General features: G+C 37.3%; 1 pseudogene across 1 annotated transcript; it reads right to left on the bottom strand.

Annotated features, from left to right (window-relative positions):
• Positions 1-657: 657 nt before the first annotated feature.
• LOC105372319 (zinc finger protein 430-like) lies at positions 658-14,426 on the bottom strand (annotated as a pseudogene). Its single transcript, NR_171647.1, has 2 exons — positions 13,019-14,426; positions 658-1,583 (listed from the first exon to the last, which is right to left on the bottom strand). The product of NR_171647.1 is annotated as a zinc finger protein 430-like (transcript).
• Between the last annotated feature and the right edge of the window lie 244 nt (positions 14,427-14,670).

The raw sequence follows: 14,670 nt of genomic DNA, 5'->3' as shown, positions 1-14,670 counted from the left end.
TAATGATGAGCAAGATATTAATCAGTAGTAATAATTACAGCAAAAGCTGGTTGCAAACAATCAATAAAAGGAGGATGTAAAACTAGACAACCGATTAGACCACAAATTCTCAGAAGGGAGTATGTCTTAACCCTAAAGAGACCTAGAAGAGCCATGGCAAGATAAGGGCGTTTATAGCCCGATGTTATCCATATGAACAGGCACCCCTCATGCATCCATTTGTAGGCTCTCCACAAGGGTCGCATTCCATTCCCAGAGCTATGAATATCTGCTTTTCTGGGATAGGAATCTTGGTGATGTGAAACCTTCCTGACTGCACATCCGTTTATAGGCTCTCTGCAGGGCGAAGCACATCACGCACTGTTGGCTCATTCTGGCAGCCCAACCTGGCATTGTCTTTACACAATCCTGCATGTAATTTTGTATTTACAACTATCAGGAGCATTTCATCTTTCATTCCATAGCCATAGTTTCAGGGGGTCTCCCTACAGCATGTCAATATAAAAATAAAAATAAAAAAACACAAAAAAGAAAGAGAAAATGAGAGACAAAGATACAAAAATCAAATAACACAATTAATAAAATAACATTAGTAAGTTTTTCTCTCTCAAAAAACCATTTTAATATATATATAATTATCTTTCCAATCAACAGACATACTTTCAATATAAAGGTTTATTAAAAAATTTTTAAATCAAGATTCAACTTGCCTTTCTACAAGAGTTAGTTGAGATCTAATGAGAAAAAAAGACTGAAAGTGGAAAGATGGAAGTAGAAATTTCATGTAAATATTAACCAAATGAGAGCAGAAGAGCTCAGAATAATATTACACAAGCTACATCTTAAGTCAAAAACTGTCATATTTTATAAAATGTACTTTAAGTCAAATCTTCAAAATGACAAAGAAGCATGCAGCATGGTTAAACGCTTTGCCACATTCTTCACACTTGTAGAGATGCTCTCCAGTATGAATTATCTTATGTGTAGTGAGGTTCGAGGAGTACTTAAAGGCTTTGCCACATTCTTCACATTTGTAGGGTTTCTCTCTAGTATGAGTTATCTTATATGCAGTAAGGTATGAGGACCAGTTGAAGGCTTTGCCACATTCTTCACATTTGTAGAGTTTCTCTCCAGTATGAATTCTCTTATGTATAGTAAGGTATGAGGACCAGTTGAAGGCTTTGCCACATTCTTCACATTTGTAGGGTTTCTCTCTAGTATGAATTTTCTTATGTGTAGTAAGGGTTGAAAACTTGTTAAAAGCTTTGCCACATTCTATACATTTGAAAGGTCTTTTTTCCCGTATGTCTTCTCTTATGTCAGTTTGAATTTGAAAATTTATGAAAAACTTTCCTATATTTATCACATTGAAATATTTTTTTCTTGGTATTTGTGAAGCATTGGTTAAGTCCATTATAACCTTCTTTGTGCACCTTACACTCATCCACACTTTCACATTCTTTTTTTAACTGTAAATTGTCATGTCCACATTTTTCATAACTAACTTCTCAGTATCAGTTTTTGGAAAGAATCTTTTACGCTCTGCTCTGGCCAAAGGTCTTGGGCAAAATGAGAACACATAACTGAAAGAAACAATACAAATACATTACTTCAGTTGCTAGACTCAGATAAATATACTTTACAAATCTAACCTATAAAATTATACAAACTACATAAGCAAGATGACATAGCAAAATACCATAAGCTGTAATTTCTTCCTGGACATATAAATGTAACAAAAACATACTGACCAAAAAACGTTTGTAAAAAATGTATAAATGAGTTAAGTGTGTGAAGGGCCCCAAGTGAGCACAATGCAAAGAGCCACATAGAAGAAAAAGAGGTCTGTTACTTATACCCAACACAGCTCTTCCTGCTCTCCATATAAGATTGTGTCTTCAAAAGTAAATTGCCAAATGGATGTGGTGGCTTATACCTGTAATCCCAGCACTTTGGGAGGCTGATGTGGGTGGATGACTTGAGGTCAGGAGTTCAAGACCAGCCCGGCTGAGATGGTGAAACCCCATCTCTACTAAAAATACAAAAAATTAGCCAGGCATGGTGGTGGGTGCCTGCAATCACAGCTACTCGGGAAGCTGAGGCATGAGAATTGCTTGAACCTGGAAGGCGGAGGTTGCAGTGAGCAGAGATCGTGCCACTGCACTTCAGCCTGGGCAAAAGAGAGAGACTTCATCCCCTGCCCCTCCAAAAAAAAAGTAAATTGCTGACCAGGCATGATGGCTCAAGCCTGTAATCTCAGAACTTTGGGAGGGCAAGGCGGGAGGATTATCTGAGATCAGGAGGTTGAGACCAGCCTGACTAACATGGTGAAATCCCATCTCTACTAAAAATACAAAAAATTAGCCAGGCTTGGTAACAGATATGTGTAATCCTAGCTACTTGGGAGGCTGAGGCAGGAGAATTGCTTGAACTGTGGTGGCAGAGATTGTAGTGAGCCAAGATCATGCCACTGCACTCCAGCCTAGGTAACAGAGTGAGACTCTGTCTCACACATACACACACATGTAAATTGCCAACCCCTCGTTTTTAAAAACAAAACAAAAAAAAACTAGAAAAATATTGGCACATATATCTTTATTTCTGGCTTCTAGGGGCTTTCTTAGACATTAGTTAATGTTTCTCGTGACATAAAATGCTGAAAGAAATGGTGATACATGTTGGAATGACAGTTTGAGTCTGCTGAGTCTGAAGGTATATTACAGAGAAGCAGAGAAACTGCAGTACCCCAAACAGGGAATGGGTGTGGCAAGTGATTACAGATTATTAAGAAGAAATGTGAACAAGCTGATTTATCTAAACAATAAAAACAAAATTTTAGACAAGATACATCCTAAAAACATGTTTGAGGAATTCCCAGAATCTTTAGCCAAGACAATTGACTTCAGACTACGCAAACACAAAGCTATATTATAAAGATTGTAACAGGTAGCTTTTTGTTAATGTCCAAATCTCAATCAAAGATTATAATGTATACCAAATATTAGAACAATATGGCCCCATCAAAAACATAAAATTTTCTAAAGCAACCATAGAAAGTATAGAAAGTAATTTTAAAAATTCAAAATAGATTGAACAGGCCAGGGTTAGTGGCTCATTTCTGGAATCCCAACACACTGGGAGATCAAGGTGGGAAAATCACATGAAGTCAGGAGTTTGACACCACCCTGGCCAACATGATGAAACCCTGTATCTACTAAAAATACAAAGATTAGCTGGGCATGGTGGCATTTGCCTGTAATCACAGCTACTTGGGAGGCTGACACAGGAGAACTGCTTGAACCTGGGAGGGGAATGTTGCAGTGAGTGGAGATTGTACCACTGTACTGCAGCCTGAGCAACACTGTCTCAAAAATACAATGAAAAAGGCTGGGCTTTGTGGCTCGTGCCTGTAATCCCAGCACTTCAGGAGGCCAAAGTGGGTGGATCATTTGAGGTCAGGAGTTCAAGATCAGCCTGGCCAACATGGAGAAACCCCGTCTCTACTAAAAATACAAAAAATTCGTTGGGCGTGATGGCAGGCAGCTGTAATCCCAGCTACTCGGGAGGCTGAGGCAGGAGAATCGCTTGAACCTGGGAGGCAGAGTTTGCAGTTAGCCGACATCACGCCACTGCACTCCAGCCTCAGCGACAGAAAAAGACTCCGTATCAGAAAAAAATAGAAACACAGACAACTACCGAAGATCAGAAAAATAAAGATAAAAAAATTAAAATACCAAAAATTGTGGATATAAAATTACCAAAAAACTGAAAAATTTCTTAAAAGAAAATATGACGTAAACATGAAAAAGCTGAAAAAACAAATTTAGGTACACACAAAGATAATAACAGACACAAATATAAGCAAAATTTCAAAATGGCATATGAGAAAAGAATTTTGGGCACTACAATATAAAAATGTTTCATTTATAAGCATAGTCTCATGAGATAACCAGTGAATTTATCAAAAAAAAATTTGCAAGTCAGAAGGAAACTGTGTGATATTGTTAAAGTTATAATAATTTTTAAAAAGCTGTCAAGTGGGAATAATACCATCAGCAAAATTGTACTACCAAATACAAAGACGTCCTTCCAAAATAACCAAATCCTGAGAAAGTATATTGACATTGCATATGCTCTACATATCAAAGATGCTGAAAGGAGGTTCTTTCACTGAAAATAACATAATGCAATATGCACATACACAAAAATGAAATTTATTACTTAACATTATCATAATGATACAGAAAACATTTTTAATTATTCTCTAAAATTTAAAAGGTAAAAGTATAGACATGATTATAAACATCTGTTAATGAACATAAAACATAAAAAAATAAAATTAGCAAAATCAATAACAAAGTTGAAGGCAGACGTAATGATGAAGAATTTTTGTATGCAATTGAAGTTAGTTTTTTACCATATTCAAATATATTGTTGGATCTTTCAGAGGTTTTATGTAATCCCCCAAGGTATCTAAGAAAATATTTATATAGATACACAAAAGAAAGTAAGAAAAAAACTGAAAGCATATCAATACAGAAATAAAAAAACACAAAAAAAGACAGAAAGAGAAAATGAGAGAAAAAGATAGAATCAAATAAAATGATTAATAATATAACATTAGTAAGTTTTTCTCTTTCAGAAAACCATTTAAATATATATATAATTATCTTTCCAATCAAGAGACATACTTTCAATAAACAGGTTTATTAAAAAGTGTTTAAAATCAATGTTCAACTTGCCTTTCTACAGGACTCAGTTGAAATCTAATGACAAAAAAGACTGAAAGTGAAATAATGGAAGTAGAAATGTCACGTAAATATTAACCAAATGAGAGTAGAAGAGGTCAAAATAATATTATACAAGATACATGTTAAGTCAAAAACTGTCATATTTTATAGAATGTACTTTAAGTTCAAACTTCAGAAAGACAAAGGACATTAAATAATATATAGATTCATTCACTGAGAACCTATGACAAATTTATTTATCCATGTGTGTATTTGTGTGTGTGTGTCTCAAACTAGGGTTTCAAATATATAAAGCAAACACTAACAAAATTGGATAAACACAGAGAGAGCAATATAATTATAGTAGGATATTTCAATACCCCACTTTCTGTAATAATAATAAAACAAGACATAATATTAATAATGGAACAGAGGACTAGAAGGCAGTAAAAAACACTTATTTCTAATGAAGGTATAGAGAACACTCCTCAACAGCATCAAAATACACAGCCTTCTCAATAGCTCAAACAACATTCTCCTATATAGACCACCTGTTAGTCCAAAAACAAAATCTTAACACATATATATATATATTTGAGATGGAGTGTTTCACTCTTGTTACCCAGTATGGAGTGCAATGGTGCAGTCTCAGCTCACTGCAACCTCTGCCTCCCAGGTTCAAGTGATTCTCCTGCCTGAGGCTCCTGAGTAGCTGGGATTACAGGCATGCACCACCACGCCCAGCTAATTTTGTATTTTTAGTAGAGGCACGGTTTCTCCATGTTGGTCAGGCTGGTCTTGAACTCCTTACCTCAGGTGATCTGCCTGCGTTGGCCTCCCAAGTGCAGGGAGTACAGGTATGAGCCACCGCGCCCAGCCTCAACACATTTTCTAAAATGTAGATTTTATAGATTACTTTCTATGACAAAAAATGAAATTAGAATATAAAACAATAATATAAATATTTGATAAATTTACAAATATATAGAAATCATATGACACACTCTTGAGCATGCACTTGTTGAAATTACTGGGCTGGGTGCGGTGGCTCATGCCTGTAATCCCAGCACTTTGGGAGGCCGAGGTGGGTGAATTTAACTCCATCTCAAAAACAAACAACCAAAAAAGAAAGAATTAATACTGTGAAGATGTCTGTACTGCTCAATTTAATCTACAGATTTAACTCAATGTTTTTCAAATGTCTCATTGCATTTTTGAAGAAATAAAAACAACAAATCCAAAAGTATATGGAATCTAAAGAGACAAGAAAGTACCCAACAATCTTCAAAAAAAGGAACAACGTTGGAGGCTTTACCATTTCTGATTTCAAAACACATCAAAAAGCTACAGAATTAAAACAATTGGTATGAGTATAAAGGTGAAAAATTAGAAAAATAAAACAGAATGCAGTACATATATTAACTTTCACATAACTATTGCAGCATTGTGACTGAAAGCCAATAGGTAAAAGCAATGCAAATTTCTGTCACCAAATCATTCAGTAGGTACAAAAATACTGGAATATCACTCAGTGAGCCACTGCACCCGGCCTAGAAATATTTTATTGTAAATTTTGTTATGTTTTTGACACAAAATACATAAGTAAAAATAATACCTAAGAGAGATACAGAGTTATTATAGTTTTTAAATTATCTTCAAATCCAAAAGTGTTTCTTTCACACAAAACAATGTAGATTCACAAATAAATAGATGTTGAAATTAGGAGATTTTTTATGACTACTCATCTAGACAGGATTAAAAAACTGTTATAGGCTTGGTGCAGTAGCTCATGCCTGTAATCCCAGCACTTAGGGAGGCTGAGGTGGGTGGATCACCTGAGGTCGGGTGTTCGAGACCAGCCTGACCAATGTTTAAGCCCCATCTCTACTAAAAATACAAAATTAGCCTGGCATGGTGGTGCATGCCTGTAATCCCAGCTACTTGGGAAGCTGAGGCAGGAGAATTGCTAGAACCCAGGAGGCAGAGGTTGCAGTGAGCTAAGATCCCACCATTATATTCCAGCCTGGGCAACAAGAGCAAAACTCTCTCTCAAACAAACAAACAACAACAAAAAACTCCAAAAAACCTACTACAAGAAACACACAACAAATATACAAGTGACACAAAAATACCAGGATAAAATTTATACAGGCCAACAAACATAGAAATAATTATACTGGTAATAGACATACAGCTTATTCACATTTAATTTTGCTCCACACTGTCTTAAATTGTACAGAGTTAAATATTGTCATATACAATTATAATATAAACTAAAAAATCAAAACACAACTAACTGCTGTGATGTGGCATACCCAAAAATATATAACACAATAATATAAAATCACAAAACAAAATTAACACATGGAATGTAAAACTTATTGGATACCATCAAGCAGATCAATGTATTCATGAAAGGAATCTTAGAATATAGAGAAAAAGTAATACAGACATTACTTGAAGATTAAAAAAAAAAAAAAGCTGAGAACTTCCCAAATTTTAATGTAACAAAAAAAAATTTCTAACCAGTAAAACTCAATTCAAAATTACACTACTTCAATAAGAAGACAAAAATAAAGACTTTCCAAAATAAAAGGTGAGACTGTTCATCACCACTAACAGTTCTACAAAATATACTACATGGGGCTGGGCACACTGGCTCACGCCTGTAATCCCAGCAGTTTCAGAGGCCGAGGTGGGTGAATTGCCTGAGATCGGGAGTTCAAGACCAGCCTGAACAATACGGTGAAACTGCGTCCCTACTAAACATGCAAAAATTAGCTGGGCGTGGTGGTGCACACCTGTAGTCCCAGCTACTCAGGAGGCTGAGGCAGGAGAATCACTTGAACCCAAGAGGCGGAAGTTGCAGTGAGCCAAAATCATGCCATTGCACTCCAGCCTGGGCGACAGAGCAAGACTCCATCTCAAAAAAAAAAAAAAAAAGTGCCAGGTGAGATGGCTCAAGCCTGTAATCCCAGCACTTTGGGAGGCCAAGGCAGTTGGATCATCAAAGGTCAGAAGTTCGAGATAAGCCTGGCCAACATGTTGAAACCCCATGTCTACTAAAAATAATAATAATAATAAAAATTAGCCCAGCATGGTGGCATGCACCTGTAACCCCAGCTACTCGGGATGGAATCTGAGGCAGGAGATTTGCTTGCACCTGGGAGGCGGAGGTTGCAGTGAGCCAAGATCATGCCACTGCACCCCAGGCCTGGGTGACAGAGGGAGACTCGGTCTCAAAAAAAAAAAAGTAAAAAAAAAATACTGCACGGGGCTCAGGCACAGTGCTTCATGCCTGTAATTCTACAGCTTTGGGAGGCCAAAGCAATCACATCACTTGAGACCAGAAGTTCAAGACCAGCCTGAGCAACATAATGAGACCCTACATATAAAAACAGAGAAATGTTAAAATGTGTCCGTTATGTAGAAACATAAAATGGTGCTGGACAGCATCATAAAAACATATGTAAATATAAAGCTCTCCAATAAATGTAAATATATGGACACATATAGAATTCTTTACTATCAAAATGATGGTAAATCCCAGCCACACTGGGAATGGTGGCTCACATCTGTAATTTCAGCACTTTAAGAGGCTGAGGTGGGCTAATCACCTGAGGTCAGGAGTTCAAGACCAGCCTGGCCAACATGGTGAAACCCCATCTATACTACAAATACAAAAAATTAGCCAGGCTGGCCTGATGGCAGGCACCTGTAACCTCAGCTACTTGGGAGGCTGAGGCAGGAGAATCCCTTGAACCTGGGAGGCAGAGGTTGCAGTGAGCCAAGATTGCACCATTGCACTCCATCCTGGGCAGTAGAGTGAGACTCAGTCTCAAAAACAAATCAAAACAAACAACCAAAAAAAACAAAAATGATGGTAAATAAAACCTTTAAAGTGCTTTTATAGAATATAAAAACAATGTGTAAATCTGCGTGCATCTGTTAATAGATACACCATATAAAATAATTTATATATCAATAACAAACTGGAAAATATAGAGGCATAGTTTTTGTATTCAGTTGAAGTTTTTATGAAATTAAAACATATTGTTTTAACTTTAAGATGCATGCAATCTCCAGTTTTCAGATGATTAGAAAGAAAATATTTATAGAAAGTATGCAAAAGACAATAAAAAATAAAGCATGTGAGTACAAAATTAAATAAAAATTAAGAAAGTAAAATAGGAAATGAGAAAAATATAACTACTGGAAACACATAAAACCATAAATATAACTGGTAATAACAACTTCATTTCTTTAAGCAATCATTTTAAATATAAATTAATTAAACTACTTAATAAAATAAAATGTAATCTTAGGACTTTAGAAGACCAAGGTAGGCTGATCACTTGATCCCAGGAGTTCAAGACCAGCCTGGGCAACATGGGAAAACTCAGTCTCTACTAAAAATACAAAAAAGCTACCTGTGTGTGATGGCACATACTTGTAACCCAGCTACTTGAGAGGCTAAAATGAGAAGATCATCTGAGTTTGGGAGGTTCAGGCAGCAGTGAACCACGCAAATCAGCCTGGTTGACAGACTGAGATCATATCTCAAAAATAAATGAGGCCGGGCACAGTGGCTCACACCTGTAATCCCAGCACTTTGGGAGGCCAAGGTGGGCAGATTACCTGAAGTCGGGAGTTCAAGACAAGCCTAGCCATCATGGTAAAACCCCGTCTCTACTAAAACTGTTGGCAGAAGAGCTGAGGCAGGGCTTGCTTGTCTGACATAATGTAAAAGAGTCTTGGAACATGTCCTGGGTCCAGGGTCTAAAACCCCTCATGACCTTTGGAAAACCAAGCTCTGTGCCAAATGGTGGAAGCCTGCCCTGCCACACTACAGTCTAAGCCCAGAGCATAAAACTCCTTGTGGCTTGGAGAGAACCCAGGGCTCAGGGCATAAAACCCCTTGTAACCTCTGGAATGTGTCCAGACTCGCTGGCCCCTTGCTCCTTGCTCTCGGAAGATCATAAATGATTGGATCTTGAATTAGAAGAACCTGTTCTCCCTTATCTTAAGTAGCACAGCATATGCTAAACTGTCACAGCTACACTTGATGCACCACTACCTTTCTATCCTCACGTCCTCACCTGTCTACCCTCATATCCACACGTCCTCAGCACCTGCTTCATTGTTTGATTACCAATAAATAGTGTGGACTCCCAGAACTCAGGGCCTTCACAGCCTCCAAACTGGCTTTGGCCTCCTGGACCCACCCTATGTACTCTTAACTTGTCTTGTCCCATTCCTTTGACTCTGCCAGACTTCGTAGCCCCCACAACCTGGTGTTGGATCTGATCACCCCAACAAAAACTACAAAAATTAGCTGGGTGTGGTTGTGGGTGCCTGTAATTTCAGCTACTTGGGAGGCTGAGGCAGGAGAATAACTTGAACCCGGGAGGTGGAGATTGCAGTGAGCTGAGATTGCACCATTGCACTCCAGCCTGGGCAACAAGAGAGAAACTCCATCTTAAAATAAATAAATAAATAAATAATATAAAGAAAATGATATAGGATGCCTGAGTGGTTTTTTTTTTTTTCTTGAGACTGAATTTTGCTCTTGTTGCCCAGGCTGGAGTGCAATGGTGCGATCTTGGCTAACTGCAACCTCTGCCTCCTGGGTTCAAGCAATTCTCCCACCTCTGCCTCCTGAGTAGCTAGGATCACAGGTGCATGCCACCACACCTGGCTAATTTTTGTATTTGTAGTAGACATGGGGTTTCTCCATGTTGGACAGGCTGGTCTCAAACTACTGACCTCAGTTGACCCACCCACCTTGGCCTCCCAAAGTGCTGGGATTATAGGTGTGAACCACCATGCCCAGTGTGAGTGGTTTTTCTAAAAAGCATACAGTATGCTGCCTACAAGAGACTCATTTTAGCATTCAGTCAAATAGGCTGAAAGTAACCGAATGAAAAAGATGTATATTCCATGAAAATAGTAACCACAAGTGAGTGAAGTGATCATAATTATATTAGACATATTATGCTTTAAGTCAAGTACTACCATGAGACAAAAATTGATAATATATTATGGTAAAGTGAGCTGATTTACCAGGAATCTTTAACTATAATATTTATTTATCTATATGAATGTGTGTATATAACATCAGAGCTCCAAAATAAATAAAGCAAATATTGACAAAAGTGAAGCAAGACATACATAGTAACATAATAATTGTAGACATCAAGACTCCATTTGCAATAATAAATAGAAAATTCAAATAAAAAATAAGAAACAGAAAACCTGGGCAACATTATAGACTGTACTAATTATTTTGCATATACAGAAATTCTTGAGAGTGCATAATTTACAAAGAAAAAAAGTTTATTTGGCTCACAGTTTGGCAGACTGTATAAGAAGTGTGTGCCAGCATCTGCTTTTGGTGTGGGTCTCAGGAAACTTACCGTCATGGTGGAATGTAAACAGTAACTGGACATATTATATGATAAGAGACTGAGCAAGTGTGAGGTGAAGGAGCCAGGTTCATGTAATGAACCAGCTCTCATTTGAATTAATAGAGTGTAAACTTTTTGGTTACCAAGAGGATGTACCAAGCCATTCATGAGAAATATGCCCCCATACAAAAACATGTCCCACCACGTCCTTCATCCAACATTGAGGATTTATATTGCAGCATGAGCTTTGGATAACATGAACATCCAAACCATGTAATAGACCAACTAGGCTTCACAGACACATACAAAACTTTCCAGTCAAAACCAGGATAATGTACAATATTCTTATCTGCATCTGGTGTATGCTGTTAGGACACACACCAAATTTTATTAAATTTAAAAATACTGACTGAGTGCAGTGGCTGTTGCCTATAATCCTAACACTTTGGGAGATCAAGATAAGAGGATCCATTGGGGCCAAAATCCTGAGACCAGTCTGGGTAACACGATGAGAAACTTTTAATAAATAAGCATTTAAAATAAACCAACGTTATTTTTTATGTTTTAAATATATGCTATTCTTACACAAAATGAAACTGCTGTAATCTAACTTTAGAAGCAAAAAACAGCCTTACATTGTTAAATATAGAAAATATACACATATATATTTTGCAGAATAAAGTGAGACCCTCTGATATGTGAAACAAATATTAGGAAATAAACTATTTTATTATGTAGATGTAAGCTGAAGAAAGTAGATGAAAATACTATAATTCCTTTTTGCCTGTGGCAAACTTAAATTTACAAATAACTGAGTAAATATGGAGTGCTTACTAATTATCTAATTTACTTCAGGAATACCATCAAATTCTAGCATATTGTCCTAAATATCTGAATCTAAAATTACAGGCAAATCTGAAAGAGAAAATAGAAAGTAAAAATGTGTAGGGAGAGTGACATCAGTAAGATAAAAAGATTAAAAGTGCCCTATTTTCATATCCCCTCACAGCAAAAAAAAAAGTCAGCCATCCCTGACAAAAATGCCTTTATGAGAAACCAGGCATTATGGCTCACACCTGTAATGACAGCTACATGGTACATTAAGGTTGGAGAACTGCTTCAGGCCAGGATTTCAAGACCAGCCTGGGTTAAGCAGCAAGATGCCATCTCCAAAATAAGTGTCTCGAAGAGAGATTTGAGATCCCAGGAGGGAGTTGTGAAACACTACTAAAGCTTAAGATTGAGAAGTGTTCTATTAAGAAGGCAGGATGTCATTCAGGTGGGAAACTACAGGACCCCTGTTTTTGGCTACAGACCAGGATAGGGTTCACCCAACTTGATCCCACTGAGAATTCTGAACTTAACTCTGTAACCATCCCAAACTCCTCCCAGCCACAGTCTGGGAGAGGTCCTGCCATTCCAGAGACCTGAAGGAAGATACCCATTTACAGCCATGCAGGCAGACTTGTAGACCTTGGCCTTTGCTGTGGTCCCTGAAGTCGTTCAATGGCTCAGTTTCAGTACCTGAGCCACAGTTCATGGCCAGTTTTGCCTACATAGAAACCCAAACAGTTACATGAGGAAATGCTCTCTGGTACTCAGTGAAAGCCATACTCATCCATGTCCTGATATAAGGCCCACCATATGCAGACCCAACTGCAAAAACATGCCCTAGTGTCTGCCCCATGGAGCAAAGTCCTGAAAAATTTGCAGCGTGTCCAAAACAAAATGAGAATTATGACTACCCAAGCCCCTGTAACAAGCCAACTAAAGGTGGACCCTAGTGCAGACCCAGCGGCCTTGTGACCAAGCTACAACCCCTCTTCACTACAAATTCAGAGGGCATCTCATAACCCCAAGGGCCCAAAGAAAGATCCTTACCTTCTAAAATCAGTTCATGAAAACTTGAAGAGGTGTTTGCTCCATCAAATTCAGACACCAATACAAAACTATATTGTGTCCATTGTCAATACTTCTATTTTAATGTAGAACTGGAAGTATGTGGCAGAAGAATTACTCAAAGAAACAAAAAAATCCATTGAAATGAAAGAAAAATAAGTAAAAAGTTGCTGTTTGTAGATCATACAATCTTATATTTTAGAAAAACCATCACAGAACATTAAAAGCTACATAAACTAATAAATACACTCGTAAATTAGCAAAATATAAAATTAACATGCAAGTATATATATGGTTTCAGAAACTTCAACTACCAGATAAAATAGAAGATGAAACAAATCTTATTTACTATAGCATTAAATAATAAATTTGTGAGAAAAAATTAACCAAGGAGGTAAAAATCTTCACAATAAAAAAAAACAATGAAAAAATTAGAGAAGATCTAAATAAATTTTAAAATATTTTGTGTCTACAGATTGAAAGAATAAATATTATTAAAGTGCCATATTATCCAAAGTGATCTATAGATTCAATAAATTTCCTATCAAAATTGCAGTGGTATTTTTTTCACAGTAACGGAAAATACAATTCTAAAATTTACATGAAACTAAAATAAACTTTGAATAGCCAAAGCAATCTTGAGAAAAAAGAACAAAGCAGAAAAATATCATACTTATAATTTCAAACTATATTTCAAGGCTATATAGTAATAAAAACAGAATGGGCTGGGCAGAAAAATGAACAAAAATATTCAACAGAAACAACTACTCCCACACATTTCAAATCTGATGCAAAAAAAAACTTTAAAAACTTTTAGTTTCTCAAAATCATGCAGATAGTTGTGTGTCCCCAAAACAATAGAAAAGCAGCCAGATTGTGCAGTCTCTTATATGCCCTGAAGTGGACTTTGGCTCTCACTGTGAACTTGAAGGAAGCTCACGGAAAGAAAAGTGGAATTTGTAGAGAATTTAAAAGCACAAGACAGAAGATACCCCTTTGTGAGAATAAAATTTAAAAAACAAACAAACAAACAATAGAACAGATGCCCAGGAACTATTTCCTTTGGAACACAGCTTCCCAAATCACATTCTAAGGACTGGCTTTCTCTTTGACCTTGGGATCTCTAATCTGTGTCATCTGTTGTATTCATTTTCACTCACACCTACCTGGGGGTTTGGCAATTATCTCATGTCTCTTCATAGTCAAAGGTTTTTTTTCCTGCTCCAGACAGGTGATCAGGTCTGGTTCAGAGACACCAATACATGTTTTATTAAAAATAAATAACATGAATCTTGCTCATATTCTCCAATTACAAGCTAGTAATGTGTTCAGCAGAGAGGATGTGATAAAATATTCTAGTAAATTAGGCTAGGCGCAGGGGCTCACGACTGTAATCCCAGCACTTTGGGAGGCCGAAGTGGGTGAATCACAAGGTCAGGAGATTGAGACCATCCTGGCTAACACAGTGAAACCCCGTCTCTACTAAAAATACAAAAAATTAGCCAGGCATGGTGGCGGGTGCCTGTAGTCCCAGCTACTTGGGAGGCTGAGGCAGGAGAATGGCGTGAACCCGGGAGGCAGAGCTTGCAGTGAGCCAAGATTGCACCACGGCACTCCAGCCTGAGCAACAGAGC

Source organism: Homo sapiens, chromosome 19 (genome assembly GCF_000001405.40).
Source record: "Homo sapiens chromosome 19, GRCh38.p14 Primary Assembly".
In the NCBI taxonomy this organism is placed as follows: Eukaryota; Metazoa; Chordata; class Mammalia; order Primates; family Hominidae; genus Homo; species Homo sapiens.
Note: the sequence above shows the minus strand (reverse complement) of the source record. Positions and strands in the feature narration are given on the sequence as shown.